Genomic DNA, 13,509 nt, shown 5'->3' with positions numbered 1-13,509 from the left:
ACTGTATATAAAGACTACATTTTGCTTGCCCATTCATCTGCTGAAGGACACTGGGTTGCTTCTGCCACGTTTTGGCTACTGTGAGTAACACTGCTATGGATATTTCCATACGAGTACAGTCATGCACCACATAATGACGTTTTGGTCAACCAGGGACCACATTTACAATGGTAGTCCCATAAGATGATAATGCTATATTTTTACAGTATCGTTTCTTTTCTTTTTCTTTTTTTTTTTTTTTTTTTTTTTTGAGACAGTTTTGCTCTTGTTGCCCAGGCTGGAGTGCAATGGCACAATCTCGGCTCGCTGCAACCCCCGCCTCCCGGGTTGAAGCGATTCTCCTGCCTCGGCTTCCCAAGTCGCTGGGATTAACAGGCGCCCACCACCACACCCGGCTAATTTTTGTATTTTTAGTAGAGATGGGTTTCACCATGTTGGCCAGGCTGGTCTTGAACTCCTGACCTCAGGTGATCCGCCCGCCTCGGCCTCCCAAAGTGCTGGGATTACATGCATGAGCCACCGGGCCTGGCCGAGTCCCTGCTTTCAATTATTTTGGGTATATACCCAGAAACAGCATTGCTAAATCATATGGTAACTTGATGTTTAACTTTTTGAGAAATGCTGCTATTGTTTTTTTGAAGGAATCTCTTCCCAAAAGTCCTCTTCTGCCTGGGATAAGTAACCCGGCACCTGCCACGCAGGCTTTATTCCTTTTGGGTGGCTGAGGACTCACTAAAGCACTCATTAAAATCATGTCTTCTGGCCAGGCATGGTGGCTCACGCCTGTAATCTCAGCACTTTGGGAGGCCGAGGCAGGTGGATCATTTGAGGTCAGAAGTTCAAGACCAGCCTGACCAACATGGTGAAACCCTGCCTCTACTAAAAATACAAAAAAATTAGCCAGGCATGGTGGTGCATGCCTATGGTCCCAGCTACTCGGGAGGCTGAGGCAGGAGAATCGCTTGAACCTGGGAGGCAGAGGTTGCAGTGAGCCAAGATCACGCCACTGCACTCCCGCCTAGGCAACAGAGCGAGACTCTGTCTCCAAAAAAAAAAAAAAAAATCATGTCTTCTGGCCAGGCGTGGTGGCTCATGCCTGTAATCCCCAGCACTCTGGGAGGCTGAGGTAGGCGGAGCACTTGAGGTCAGGAGTTCAAGATCAGCCTGGTCAGCGTGGTGAAACCCCATCTCTACTAAAAATGCAAGATTAGTCAGGTGTGGTGGCAGGCCCCTGTAATCCCAGTGCCTGCTACGTGGGAGGCTGAGGCAGGAGAATCGTTTGAACCCACGTGGTGGAGGTTGCAGTGAGCCAAGATTGCACCACTGCACTCCACCCTGGGCGACAGTGAAACTCAAAAAAGGGAAAAAAAAGTCACGTCTTCTTCCTTGTTTGCTGACATCATTAATTCATTCATGTATTTTTGAACCCTTACAGCATTCCCAGCACTTTCACTTGCCCTCCCCAAGGTCTCATACGTCATACTAAGTCATCTAGGTAGCACTTTTAGTCTGTGAACAACACAGTAATGCAAAACTCAGATTCACATATGTTGCTGATATTGTAAGAATATGTCTTTACTCTAATGTTGGGGGTAGGTGGGCAGTGAGGATTCCCATGGTAGGAAAGAAGCGGCCCCAGAGTCTCCAGTGTTCAGGTCCTCAGGGCAAGATCAGCCCACTCTTCCTGCTCACAGCTGGCCAGGCCACCAGCACTGCAGAGAAATGGCCCCTCTCATCTTTCCGCTGACATGTCACCTCCTTAGAGATCTGGCCTACCCATCCCCCAATATTCTCCACCTCAACCCCTTCTGTCACAGCACCTAACATGGGCTGTAATTATCTTGTCATTTATTATTTTCTGTGCATCTACTCCACTAAATTACAGACTCCATGAGGGCAGGGATTTGCTCACCACTGCATCCCCACTGCCAGTGCAATGCCTAACAAACAGAGCTCAAGAAACACTGAGTAAATGAATGGATAAATGAAGAAGGCATCAGGTTGGGCCGAATGAGTAAAGCCTGCATATCAGAGGTGCCCCCGTACCCCCAGGTAGGACAGGTGCAGATGGGAGACAGTCCTTCTGGGCCCTCCAGCCCCAGGTTATGAGTCAGGCATCTAGATAAGGCAACGCTGGAAGTGTATCCTTCAGGAGAGGAGCAAGGAGCTGGGAACAGGCCAAATGCAAGGAGCTGGGCGGGCTGCAGGCCACCACGTGGAAAGCACAAGAAATAAAACCCATTTGCCATCCCAGTTTGGCAAGGGCAGAGCAGGTGCCCACTGGGCCACATGGACGCTGGTCAGCATGCCAGGTAGACACCAGCAAGGAGCTGGCTCTGCGGCATGTGGCAACAGTCACTAAGTGGGACAGGAGTCTGACTGCATGATTTCTGTTGTCCTGGAGACAAGCAAAGCAAAATTTTGACAATCTAGTTCCCCATGCTCAGCAACAACCTCCCCTTTATAATTTGTTCCTCCAGGGAAATTCTCCTAGGAAGAAAGAATGCACTGGCTGGCCCAGAAAAGCCTTCCAGACCACTTGGTAGTTACATTTCTCATTGCCAGCGGTCGGTGTCAGCACCAGCCCCTGTGTATACCTGCCCTCGAGCCCAGTAACTAACTAGATCAGGCCAGCCTGCACCTGCTTGTCCATCATCACTGTGGCCGTCTGTAAACCCTCTCTAAGCACCTGCCCGCTGGCCTCTACCACAGCCCCCCACTCTGCTTATGTGCACAGCTCTGCCGCACACCACCCAGCGACACCGGGTCAGGACTTTCAGTAAGTCAGAAGGTGAGGGAGTTACCTGTATAACGTGGCTCTCTGATTTCTCTGGATCTTCTGCAGACTGAACAATTAGCTGACCCATTTCTTTGTGCAGTTTGCCCATTGCCATGGCCTCTGGTGAGATCAAGAAGGTGAATATTTAGAAATCGACATAAAAAATAATCATGCCATCTATCTGAAAACTTGGAAGACCACACTGAGGGAATTTTCAAAAAGCAGCTGATAACCTCCCACATGTCCATTTTATCACTAGACACAAATATGACAACATGCTGGGAGGAAAGGCATAATATAATCGTGATTTATACTTCTGGGCAAACATAAAAACACATCACACCAAACCAGATTTCCCCTTCACACCCACCTGACCAAAATTTTTATTTTTCTTCCCAGACAAAGCATAATGAACAATTCTGACTACAACTAAGTCATGACTATAAGCCAAGAGTCTGACGTTCTAGTCCAGCTCTTTACAGTTAAGAAATGTATCTTTTTGGCGGGAATATTGTGAAAGAGGAGCTTCCTGTCAGTTCTGCAGAAGCCAGCTGGGCGCTCAATTCGTTTAGATTCTTAGAAATGAGCAAAGGAAACCACCTAAGTTAGCCTGGTTACATACATTGCTACTGTCTGCACTGAGGAGGTTAACAGAAACTTGTTTGTCACTTCAAGAGACAGACTCCATTCAACTGGTGCGGATTAGGATGAGCCCATTTTTATAGACACAGAGCAACACAGGGCAGCAGGAAGATGGCCACCCTTTCTGGTCCTAATGCTTCAGCTGCTTAAGTGGCCCTAGCCACAGCCAGTTTTCTTTCACTTTCGCTTTGCAAAAGGCAGTTATTTCGTAAAGATCTGACCCCATAGTTTGAATTTTTCATCATGAGCATGCATTATGTTTGCAATTTTAAAACGAATTAAAGGAAAGCCAGTTATGGTTCTATTAATTTGAATTTTTCAATAAAACCTCACATAATCGAATCTAACAATTCCCAATGAGTCAGCATTCAGCTGCCCCCACTTTTAGGAGAAAGATAAGTGACAAAACAAAGCTGTTAATCAGTAATCCCATCTAAAACCACTACCTGAGTAGTGCTCAACACGCATTTAAGCCAATCTTTTCTACTTTATGTAGCTGTAATTTGGGACAATTTATTTATTTATTTATTTATTTGAGACAGAGTCTTGCTTTGTCACCCAGGCTGGAGTGCAGTGGCGCGATCTCGGCTCACTGCAAGCTCTGCCTCCCGGGTTCAACTGATTCTCCTGCCTCAGCCTCCCGAGTAGCTGGGACTAGAGGCGCCTGCCACCACGCCCGGCTAATTTTTTGTATTTTTGGTAGAGACGGGGTTTCACCGTGTTAGCCAGGCTGGTCCCGATCTCCTGACCTCGTGATCCACCCGCCTTGGCCTCCCAAAGTGCTGGGATTACAGGCGTGAGCCACCATGGCCGGCCTAATTTGGAACAATTTAGAATGTCTAAGAATGCCACTCTAACACTAGTACACCCTTTCCTGATCATTAGCTCTAAGAACAGCTTCATTCCCTTATGCTTACTAAGACATGCTTCAAAAAGATTTTCCATACTGGAGTCACATTTAACCCTGTGTAGTGATAAACGCCTACATATTTTTTGATACTCCTTTCTTCAAGAGGTGGAGACATTCCTCTCTCAAGTGTTGACTAAACTTAGTGATTTGCTTCTAACAAATAGCATATGGAGGAAGTAATGGTGACTATCAAGGCAAGATTATAAAACGCACTGTGACTTCCTTTTCTCTCTCGGGTCACTCACTCCTGGGGAGCCAGCTGTCATATTGTAAGAACACTCAAGCAACCCTATGGAGAGGCCCATGGCAGAAGGAACTGAGGCCTCCTGCCAACAGCCATGCACATTGAAAGCGGATGTTCCAGCCCCAGTGGAGCCTTCAGATGACTGTGGCTCTGGGATATCGTGACTGAAACTTCCTGAGCCAAACTACCTCTACATAAGTCATTCCTGATCCGCCAAAACTGTGAGATAAATATGTGTTGTTTTAGAACATGATGGCTCACGCCTGTAACCCCAGCACTTTGAGAGGCTGAGGCCAGTGGATCACTTGAGGCTAGGAATTCGAGACCAGCCTGGCCGACATGGTGAAACCCTGTCTCAAGTAAAAATACAAAAATTAGGCCAGGCGCAGTGGCTCACATATGTAAGTAATCCCAGCACTTTGAGAGGCCAAGACAGGCAGATCATGAAGTCAGGAGTTCAAGACCAGCTGACCAACATGGTGAAACCCCATCACTAACTAAAAATACAAAATTAGCTGGGTGCGGTGGCGGGTGCCTGTAATCCCAGCTACTCGGGAAGCTGAGGCAGGAGAATCACTTGAACCTGGGAGGCGGAGGTTGCAGTGAGCCAAGATCGTGCCATTGCACTCCAGCCTGGGCATAAGACTCCATCTCAAAAAAAAAAAAATTAGCTGAGCATGGTGGTGCATGCCTGTAAACCCAACTACTCGGGAGGCTGAGACATGACAATCACCTGAACCCGGGAGGCATAGGCTGCAGTGAGCCAAAATCAGGCCACTGCACTCCAGCCTGGGAAATAGAGCAAGACTCTGCCAAAAAAAAAAAGAAGAAGAAAAGAAAAAGGAATATGTGTTGTTTTAAACCACTGAGTTCTGTATGACTCAGAAACATTTCAAAATTAAGAAAATAAACCGCTAAGTTCTGAAGTGATTTGTTATGTGGCAGTAGATAATACACCTTGTTTAAACACAAAAGTAGTGAAACAAGATGAACAGACTATTTAACTTCTTAATATACACTCTGCTGCATAAGCACCCGGGATGTTCTGCTAATATGTCTATGTTTATAGGAATAAATGTTGTGTTCTAGACACGGAAATATCCATCTTCAGCAGAGTTGGTAAGCCAGCCCTCACATACTGGTTTTAGAGAATCAGCCTAAAAATGTACAACTGTTTGGCTTATATCTTGTATCAAGAACAGAACAGAGAACAAACCTTTTGCAAGGGGAGCAATGGTAATCTCACTCTCTGCCAGATTCACAAACACATCATAGAGGTCTGGTCTGTTGCTCACCTCCAAGTCTACAAATCCAGCGACGTAACCTGCATCACAAACATGAGCAACCTTACTGGAGTAGGAAGAAATATGGTGAACCCATCAAAAGAATTGGGTCTAAAAGCTCATCGACTGCTCTCTTTCACTGCTTTATTCATTCGGGAACATTAGCTGTACCCTGTGGCAGTTAGTAAGACTACATTACTATCAGTTGCCTGAAGATATTCACACAACGCCAGATATTCCAAAATTATCCATCAGTGTCAAGGACAAGACTGAAGTAGGGCATTTACTTTCCAATCATTGCTCTTGGGGTCAAGAATGACAGCTGTGGCAGAAGGTAGCAAGGACTCTCTTGACTGATGTTCCCCCTTCAGGTCTTTGCCTTCAGGAAATCAATGGCAAATGCCTGGGTTCTCAGAGTGGAAATGGCATCATCTTTAAGGGTTCAGGGCAACTCAGGAATTAGCAGATCTCTGGGATTGGTGTTAGAACAATGATTCCCAGATTTTTTTGATTTCACAGAGCAATACAATTACCAAAAAAAAAAATTATTTGAGGAGAGACTGATATGGTTTGGATCTGTGTTCCCACCCAAATCTCATGTCGAACTGTAATCCTCAATGTTGGAGGTGGGGCCGGGTCGGAGGTGACTGGATCATGGGGGTGATTTCTTATGAGCGGTTTAGCACCATCCTCTTAGTGTGGTTCTCGTGATTGAGTTCTCACAAAATCTGGTTGTTTAAAAGTGGACGGCACCTTCCCCCACCTTTCTCCTGCTCCAGCCATGTAAGACGTGCCTGCTTCCCCTTCACCCTCTGCCATGATTGTAAGTTTCCTGAGGCCTCCACAGAAGCAGAAGCCACTATTCTTGCTGTACAGCCTGCAGAACTGTGAGCCAATTCAACTTCTTTTCTTTATAAATTATAGTCTCAGTTTTTTTGTTTTTTTTTTTTGAGACAGTCTCGCTCTGTCACCCAGGCCAGAGTGCAGTAGCATGATCTCGGCTCACCGCAACCTCCACCTCCCAGGTTCAAGAGATTCTCCTGCCCCAGCCTCCTGAGTAGCTGGGACTACAGGTGTGCGCCACCACGCCTGGCTAATTTTTGTATTTTGAGTAGAGACGGGGTTTCACCATATTGGCTAGACTGGTGTCGAACTCCTGACCTCGTGATCCGCCTGCCTCAGCCTTCCAAAGCGCTGGGATTACAGGCGTGAGCCACTGTGCCTGGCCTTTTTGTTTGTTTTTGAGACAGAGTCTTGCTCTGTTGCCCAGGCTGGAGGGCAGTGGCACGATCTTGGCTTACTGCAACCTTCACCTCCTGGGTTCAAGCAATTTTCCTGTCTCAGCCTTCTGAGTAGCTGGGACTACAGGCATATGCCACCACACCTGGCTAAGTTTTGTATGTTTAGTAAAGACAGGGTTTCACCATATTGGTCAGGCTGGTCTTGAACTCATGACCTCAGGTGATCCACCCACCTTAGCCTCCCAAAGTGCTGGGATTACAGGCATGAGCCATCCCACCCGGCCTTCAGTTATTTCTTTATAGCAGTGCAAGAACACACTAATACAGGACCAATTTATCATTCCTAGAGTTTTACTTTACCAAGCAAGGACAGTTAAAAAATAACAGGTGGGGGCAGTGGCTCCTGCCTGTAATCCCAGCACTTTGGAAAGCCGAGGTGGGAGGATCACTTGAGGCCAGGAGTTTGAGACTGTCCTGGCCAACATGATGAAACCCTGTCTCTACTAAAAATACAAAAATTAGCTGGTGGCCAGGCGCAGTGGCTCATGCCTGTAATCCTAGCCCTTTGGGAGGCTGAGGCGGGTGGATTGCTTGAGCTCAGGAGTTCGAGGCCTGCCTGGGCAACATGGCGAAACCCCATCTCTACTAAAAATAAAATAAAAAAAAAAATTAGCTGGGCATGGTGGCACATGCCTGTAGTCCCTGTTACTCGGGAGGCTGAGGCACAAGAATTGCTTGAACCTGGGAGATGGAAGTTGCAGTGAGCCAAGATCACGCCACTGCACTCCAGCCTGGGCAACAGAGCGAGACTCTGTCTCAAAAAAATAAAATAAAATAAGATAAAACAAAATAATTTAAAAAACAACAAAAACAAAACCTACTACTGAGAGCCAGACCCAGGCCCACCCATGAATGAGAAAATGTGACAGATGACAAGTAATATTACTCATTACTGAAAAAAGAAAGAGATTATTCAATAAATGTCCTGGTCCAAGTGGTTATCCATAGGGTAAAAAAGTTCAGTCAGATCCCAAACTCACACACTACACAAAAAATTATTCCAGATAAATTAATAACTTCACTGGGAAATAAAAAACATTAAAAATGTTTAGGCCAGGCACAGTAGCTCACACCTATAATCTCAGCACTTTGGGAGGCCAAGGCGGGAGGACTGTTGAGCTCAAGAGTTCGAGACCAGCCAGGGCAACATGGTGAAACCTTATCTCTACCAAAAAAAAAAATACAAAAATTAGCCAGGCATGGTGGCACGTGCCTGTAGTCCCAGCTACTTGGGAGGCTGGGGTAGAAGGATGGCTTAAGCCCAGGAAGTGGAGGTTGCAATGAGCCGAGACTGAGCCACTGCACTCCAGCCTGGGCGACAGAGCAAGACCCTGTCTCAAAAAAAAAAAAAAGAAAAGAAAAAGAGAAAGAAAAATTTTCATAAGAAAATGGCCAGGCACAGTGGCTCATGCCTATAATCCCAGAGCCCAGGAATTCAAGACAAGCCCAGGCAATAAAGCAAGACTTTGTCTCTAAAAAAAAATACAGACGGCTGGGCGCAGTGGCTCACGCCTGTAATCCCAGAACTTTGGGAGGTCAAGGCAGGTGGATCATCTGAGGTCAGGAGTTCGAGACCAGCCTGACCAATATGGTGAAACCCTGTCTCTACTAAAAATACAAAAATTAGCCAGGCATGGTGGTGGGTGCCTGCAGTTCCAGCTACTCAGGAGGCTGAGATAAGAGAACTGCTTGAACCAGGGAAGTGGAGGTTGCAGTGAGCTGAGAGCATGCCACTGCACTCTGGCCTGGACAACAGAGGGAGACTCTGTCTCAAAAAAGACAGGCAATAACAAACGATGGCAAGAATGTAGAGAAAAAGAACTCTCGTACACTGTTGGTAGGAATGTAAATTAGTACAGTCACTATGGAGAACAGTATGGAAATTCCTCGAAAAACTAAAAATAGAACTACCATATGATCCAGCAATCCCACTGCTGGGTATTTACCCCCAAAAAAGGAAATCAGTGTATCAAAGAGATACCACCATTCCCATGTTCACTGCAGCACGGTTCACAACCACCAAGATTTGGAATCAAACTGAGTGTCCATCAACAGATGAATGGAAAAGAAAATGTGGTGCATATACACAGTGGAATATTATGCAGCTATAAAAAGGAATGAAATCCTGTCATTTGCAACAACATGGATGGAACTGGAGGCATCATGTTAAGTAAAAGAAGCCACGGACAGAAAGACAAATTTTGCATGTTCTCACTAATCTGGGGGAGCTAAAAATTAAAACAATGGAACTCAGGGAGATAGAGAGTAGAATGGTGGGTACCAGAGGTTAGGAAGGGTAGTGGGGAGAGGGGGAAAATTTGGGATGGTTAGTGGATACAAAAATATAGTTAGAATGAATAAGACCTAGTATTTGATAGCACAATAGGGTGACTACAGTGAATGATAGTTTATTGTATATTTAAAAATAACTAGAAGTTGGCTGGGCACAGTGGCTCACACCTGTAATCCCAACACTTTGGGAAGCTGAGGCGGGTGGATCACCTGAGGTCAGAAGTTTGAGACCAGCCTGGCCAACATGGTAAAACCCCATCTCTACTCTCTACCAAAAATACAAAAAAATTAGCTGGGCATGGTGGTGCACACCTGTAATCCCAGCTACTCAGGCAGCTGAGGCAGGAGAATCGCTTGAACCTGGGAGGTGGAGGCCGTAGTATGCTGAGATCGTGCCACTGCACTCCAGCCTGGGCAACAGAGTGAGACTCCAACTCAAAAAAAAAAAAAAAAAAAAAAAAGAAAACTAGAAGTGGAATCACAATGTTCTTAACACAAAGAAATCATAAATGCTTGAGGTGATGGATACTGCAATTACCCTGATGTAATCATTATACATTGTAGGCCTGTATCAAAACATCATATGTACCCCATAAATACATATACCTATTATATACCCATAACAATTAAAAAGTTAAGATGAAAAAAAAAAGTCACTGATAAACTTTTAAGACTAGAACTTTACAAGTTCGGCCAGGCACAATGGCTCATGCCTGCAATCCAGGCACTTTGGGAGCCTGAGGTGGGTGGATCACCTAAGGTAAGGAATTTGAGACCAGCCTGGCCAACGTGGAGAAACCCTGTCTCTACTAAAAATACAAAAATTAGCTGGGCATGGTGGCAGGTGCCTGTAATCGCAGCTACTAGGGAGGCTAAGGCAGGAGAATTGCTTGAACCTAGGAGGCAGAGGTTGCAGTGAGCTGAGATCACACTATTGCACTCCAGCCTGGACAACAAGAACAAAACTCCGTCCCAAGAAAAAAACAAAAACAAAAAAAAACTTTACAGGTTAAATAGTTAAATATAGGTTGCATTTTTTAAATTTTATTTTATAATTTAAAAATTTTAAAAGACAGGTCTCCTATGTTGCCCAGGCTGGTCTGGAACTCCTGGGCTCAGGCGATCACCCCACCTCGGCCTCCCAAAGTGCTGGGATTACAGGTGTGAGCCACTGTGCCCAGCCAAAAACAGGCTGCATTTTGATGATGGCTGAACAACAACGTGAATGTACTTAATGCCACTGAACTGTATGTTTACCAATGGTTAAAAAGGTAAATGTAGCTGTGCGTAGCAGCTGACACCTGTAATCCCAACAGTGTGGGAGGCCAAGATGGGCAGATCGCTTGAGTTCGGGAGTTCAAGACCAGCCTGAGTAACACAGGAAGACCTGGTCTCAAAAAAAAAGGTAAATCTTTTTTTCTGGAGACAGAGTCTCGCTCTGTCGCCCTGGCTGGAGTGCAGTGGCTCAGTCTCAGCTCACTGCGACCTCCACCTGCTGGGTTCAAGTGATTCTTGTGCCTCAGCCTCCCGAGTAGCTGGGACTACAGGCACCCACCACCACACCCGGCTAATTTTTTTTTTTTTTTTTTTTGGTATTTTAGTAGAGATACGGTTTCCCCATGTTGGCCAGGGTGGTCTCAAACTCCTGAGCTCAGGCAATCCACTTGCCTCAGCCTCCTAAAGTGCTAGGATTATAGGCATGAGGCACCGCGCCCGGCCAAAAAAAGGTAAATCCTATATGCATTTTACCACAATTTTTTTTTTTTTTTGAGACGGAGTTTTGCTCTTGCTGCCCAGGCTGGAGTGTAGTGGTGTGATCTTGGCTCACCGCAACCTCCGCCTCCCAGGTTCAAGTGTTTCTCCTGCCTCAGCCTCCCAAGTAGCTGGGATTACAGGCATGTGCCACCATACCCAGCTAATTTTTTGTATTTTTAGTAGAGACGGGGTTTCTCCATGTTGGTCAGGCTGGTCTTGAACTCCCGACCTCAGGTGATCTGCCCACCTTGGCCTCCCAAAGTGCTGGAATTACAGGTGTGAGCTACCGCTCCCGGCCACAATTTTTTTTTAAACTAAAAAAAAAAAAAAAATTTAAGGGCAAAAAATTGATTGCATGTGCCAAAGAAATAATAAAGGATCAGTATCCCACTTGGGAATGCACAAAATAAAAACAAAAAACCCTCTTTAAAGTGGAATAAAATTAGCCAGGCGTGGTGGCACATGCCTGTAATCCCAGCTACTTGGGAGGCTAAGGCAGGAGAATTGAAGGCGGACGTTGCGGTGAGCTAAGATCGTGCCATTGCACTCCATCCTGGGCAACAAGAGTGAAAATCCGTCTCAGGAAAAAAAAAAAAAAAAAAGTGAAACAGTTCCTCCCCTGGGATCCTCTTGTCTACCTGTGCACATCTGCAGGGCTTCCAGCTCATCGGCGTTGAGGTGCACGTAAGAGTGAAGGATGGTCCAGTCCTGTCGGTGCCACACCAGGGCAGGCAGAGTCCTGGGGAATCAAGGCAAGAACTCAAGTTGTTGCTGGTCCACACCTTAAAGACTCAGCCTGCCCCCTTCTCCTCTTCCTGAGAAGGAAATGAAGAGGGTAGAGTCTACAGCTAATCAGGGACAGAGGTGAGACCAAGCCCCAAATGTGCTAACCTCTGGGCTTCAAATTAAAGCAATGCAATGTTTTACTATTTATTTTTTTGAGATGGAGTTTCACTCGTCACCCAGGCTGGAGTGCAATGGCGCGATTTTGGCTCACTGCAACCTCCACCTCTGGGGTTCAAGTAATTCTCCTGCCTCAGTCTCCCAAGTAGCTGGGACTACAGGTGCCTGCCACCACGGCCCGGTTAATGTTTGTATTTTTAGTAGAGATGGGGGTTCACCATGTTGGCCAGGCTGATCTTGAACTCCTGACCTCAGGTGACCCACCTGCCTTGGCCTCCCAAAGTGCTGGGATTACAGGCGTGAGCCACTGCACCCAGCCTCTCTGCAATGTTTTAAACTCTGCTTTTGGGGATCAGATCAGCTACAGAAAGCTCAAGGTGAAGTTTCAAAAGATCCCTGTGGTAGCAAAGAGTGACGCTTCTAAGGTTTTCCTCTGAAAAATCCCACTCTGGAGACTGCCATGGAAAGGGAGTCTAAGGGTAAAATTCAAAGTCACCTCTGCAAGCAAGAAATTTTCTGGAAGTCTCCCATTTATATTTAAAATTTTAGTAAAACTCGCAAACCAAGTGTGTTTGTTTCCCTAAGACATAGATTTCTCTGAAAAAAACTTATGGTAGAATAATGACTGCAACAAGATGTATCAAATTTATCTGTGGCTTCATGAACCCCTGGTGCCCTGCTAAATATCTCAGAAGCTGTGACCGCTCCAGTTTAAGGAGCATACGTAGAGGGGGAAAAGGTGATGGGATAGAAAATATGGGCTTTTGGACCCAGAGAGGGCAGGGTGAAAGTTCTGTCTCTCTCACTTAAAATCTGATGCAATCATGATCATAACAATAATAACTTCTAAAGTGTGTCTTACAGGCTAGGTACATGTTAAGCATCTTACATAAATTATTTCCAGTCTTAACAAACTTGTAAGTAGATATTACGATCTTCATTTTACAGATAAAGGAACACAGGCTCAGAAACAATCAATACCTTTTGTTTTGTTTCTGTGACAGGGCCTCACTCCGTCGTCCAGGCTGGGGTGCAGTGACGTGATCATGGCTCACTGCAGCCTCCACCTCCTGGGCTCAAGCGATTCTCCCACCTCAGCCTCCTGTGTAGCTCAGGCTACGGGTGCATGCCACCATGCCTGGCTAATTTTTGTATTTTTTTATAGAGATGGGGTTTTGCTGTGTTGCCCAGTCTGGTCCTGAACTTCTGGTCTCAGGCAATCTGCTAACCTCAGCCTCCCAAAGTGCTGGGATTACAGGTGTGAGCCACCATGCCCGGCCAACATTATCTTTTATGTGTTCACAGAGCTAATAAGTTGCCCTCCCAAGATTTTAACTCAGGTCTTTCTGACTATGAAGCCTTTGTTCTTTTCATTACCTTATACCTATACTCTGCCAACC

The 13,509-nt window shown here is 45.9% G+C and overlaps 1 protein-coding gene across 11 annotated transcripts in view; it reads right to left on the bottom strand.

Moving 5' to 3' along the window:
- The window catches only part of DENND10 (DENN domain containing 10), a 33,872-nt gene that overhangs the window by 2,571 nt on the left and 17,792 nt on the right, over positions 1–13,509 (bottom strand). For all 11 annotated transcript variants that reach the window (NR_130122.2, NM_001303111.2, XM_006717849.5 and 8 more), the window contains 3 exons: positions 11,845–11,945; positions 5,792–5,899; positions 2,805–2,899 (listed from right to left, as the gene is read on the bottom strand). Coding sequence is in view for 10 of the 11 variants with exons in the window: in NM_001303111.2 (NP_001290040.1) it covers positions 2,805–2,899; positions 5,792–5,899; positions 11,845–11,945 (304 nt within the window). In the remaining variant the exon portion in view is untranslated. The remainder of the gene's footprint in view (positions 1–2,804; positions 2,900–5,791; positions 5,900–11,844; positions 11,946–13,509) is intronic.

This window comes from Homo sapiens, chromosome 10 (genome assembly GCF_000001405.40).
Source record: "Homo sapiens chromosome 10, GRCh38.p14 Primary Assembly".
Classification (NCBI taxonomy): Eukaryota; Metazoa; Chordata; class Mammalia; order Primates; family Hominidae; genus Homo; species Homo sapiens.
The sequence above is the reverse complement of the archived record's forward strand: the minus strand, read 5'-3'. Positions and strand labels throughout refer to the sequence as shown.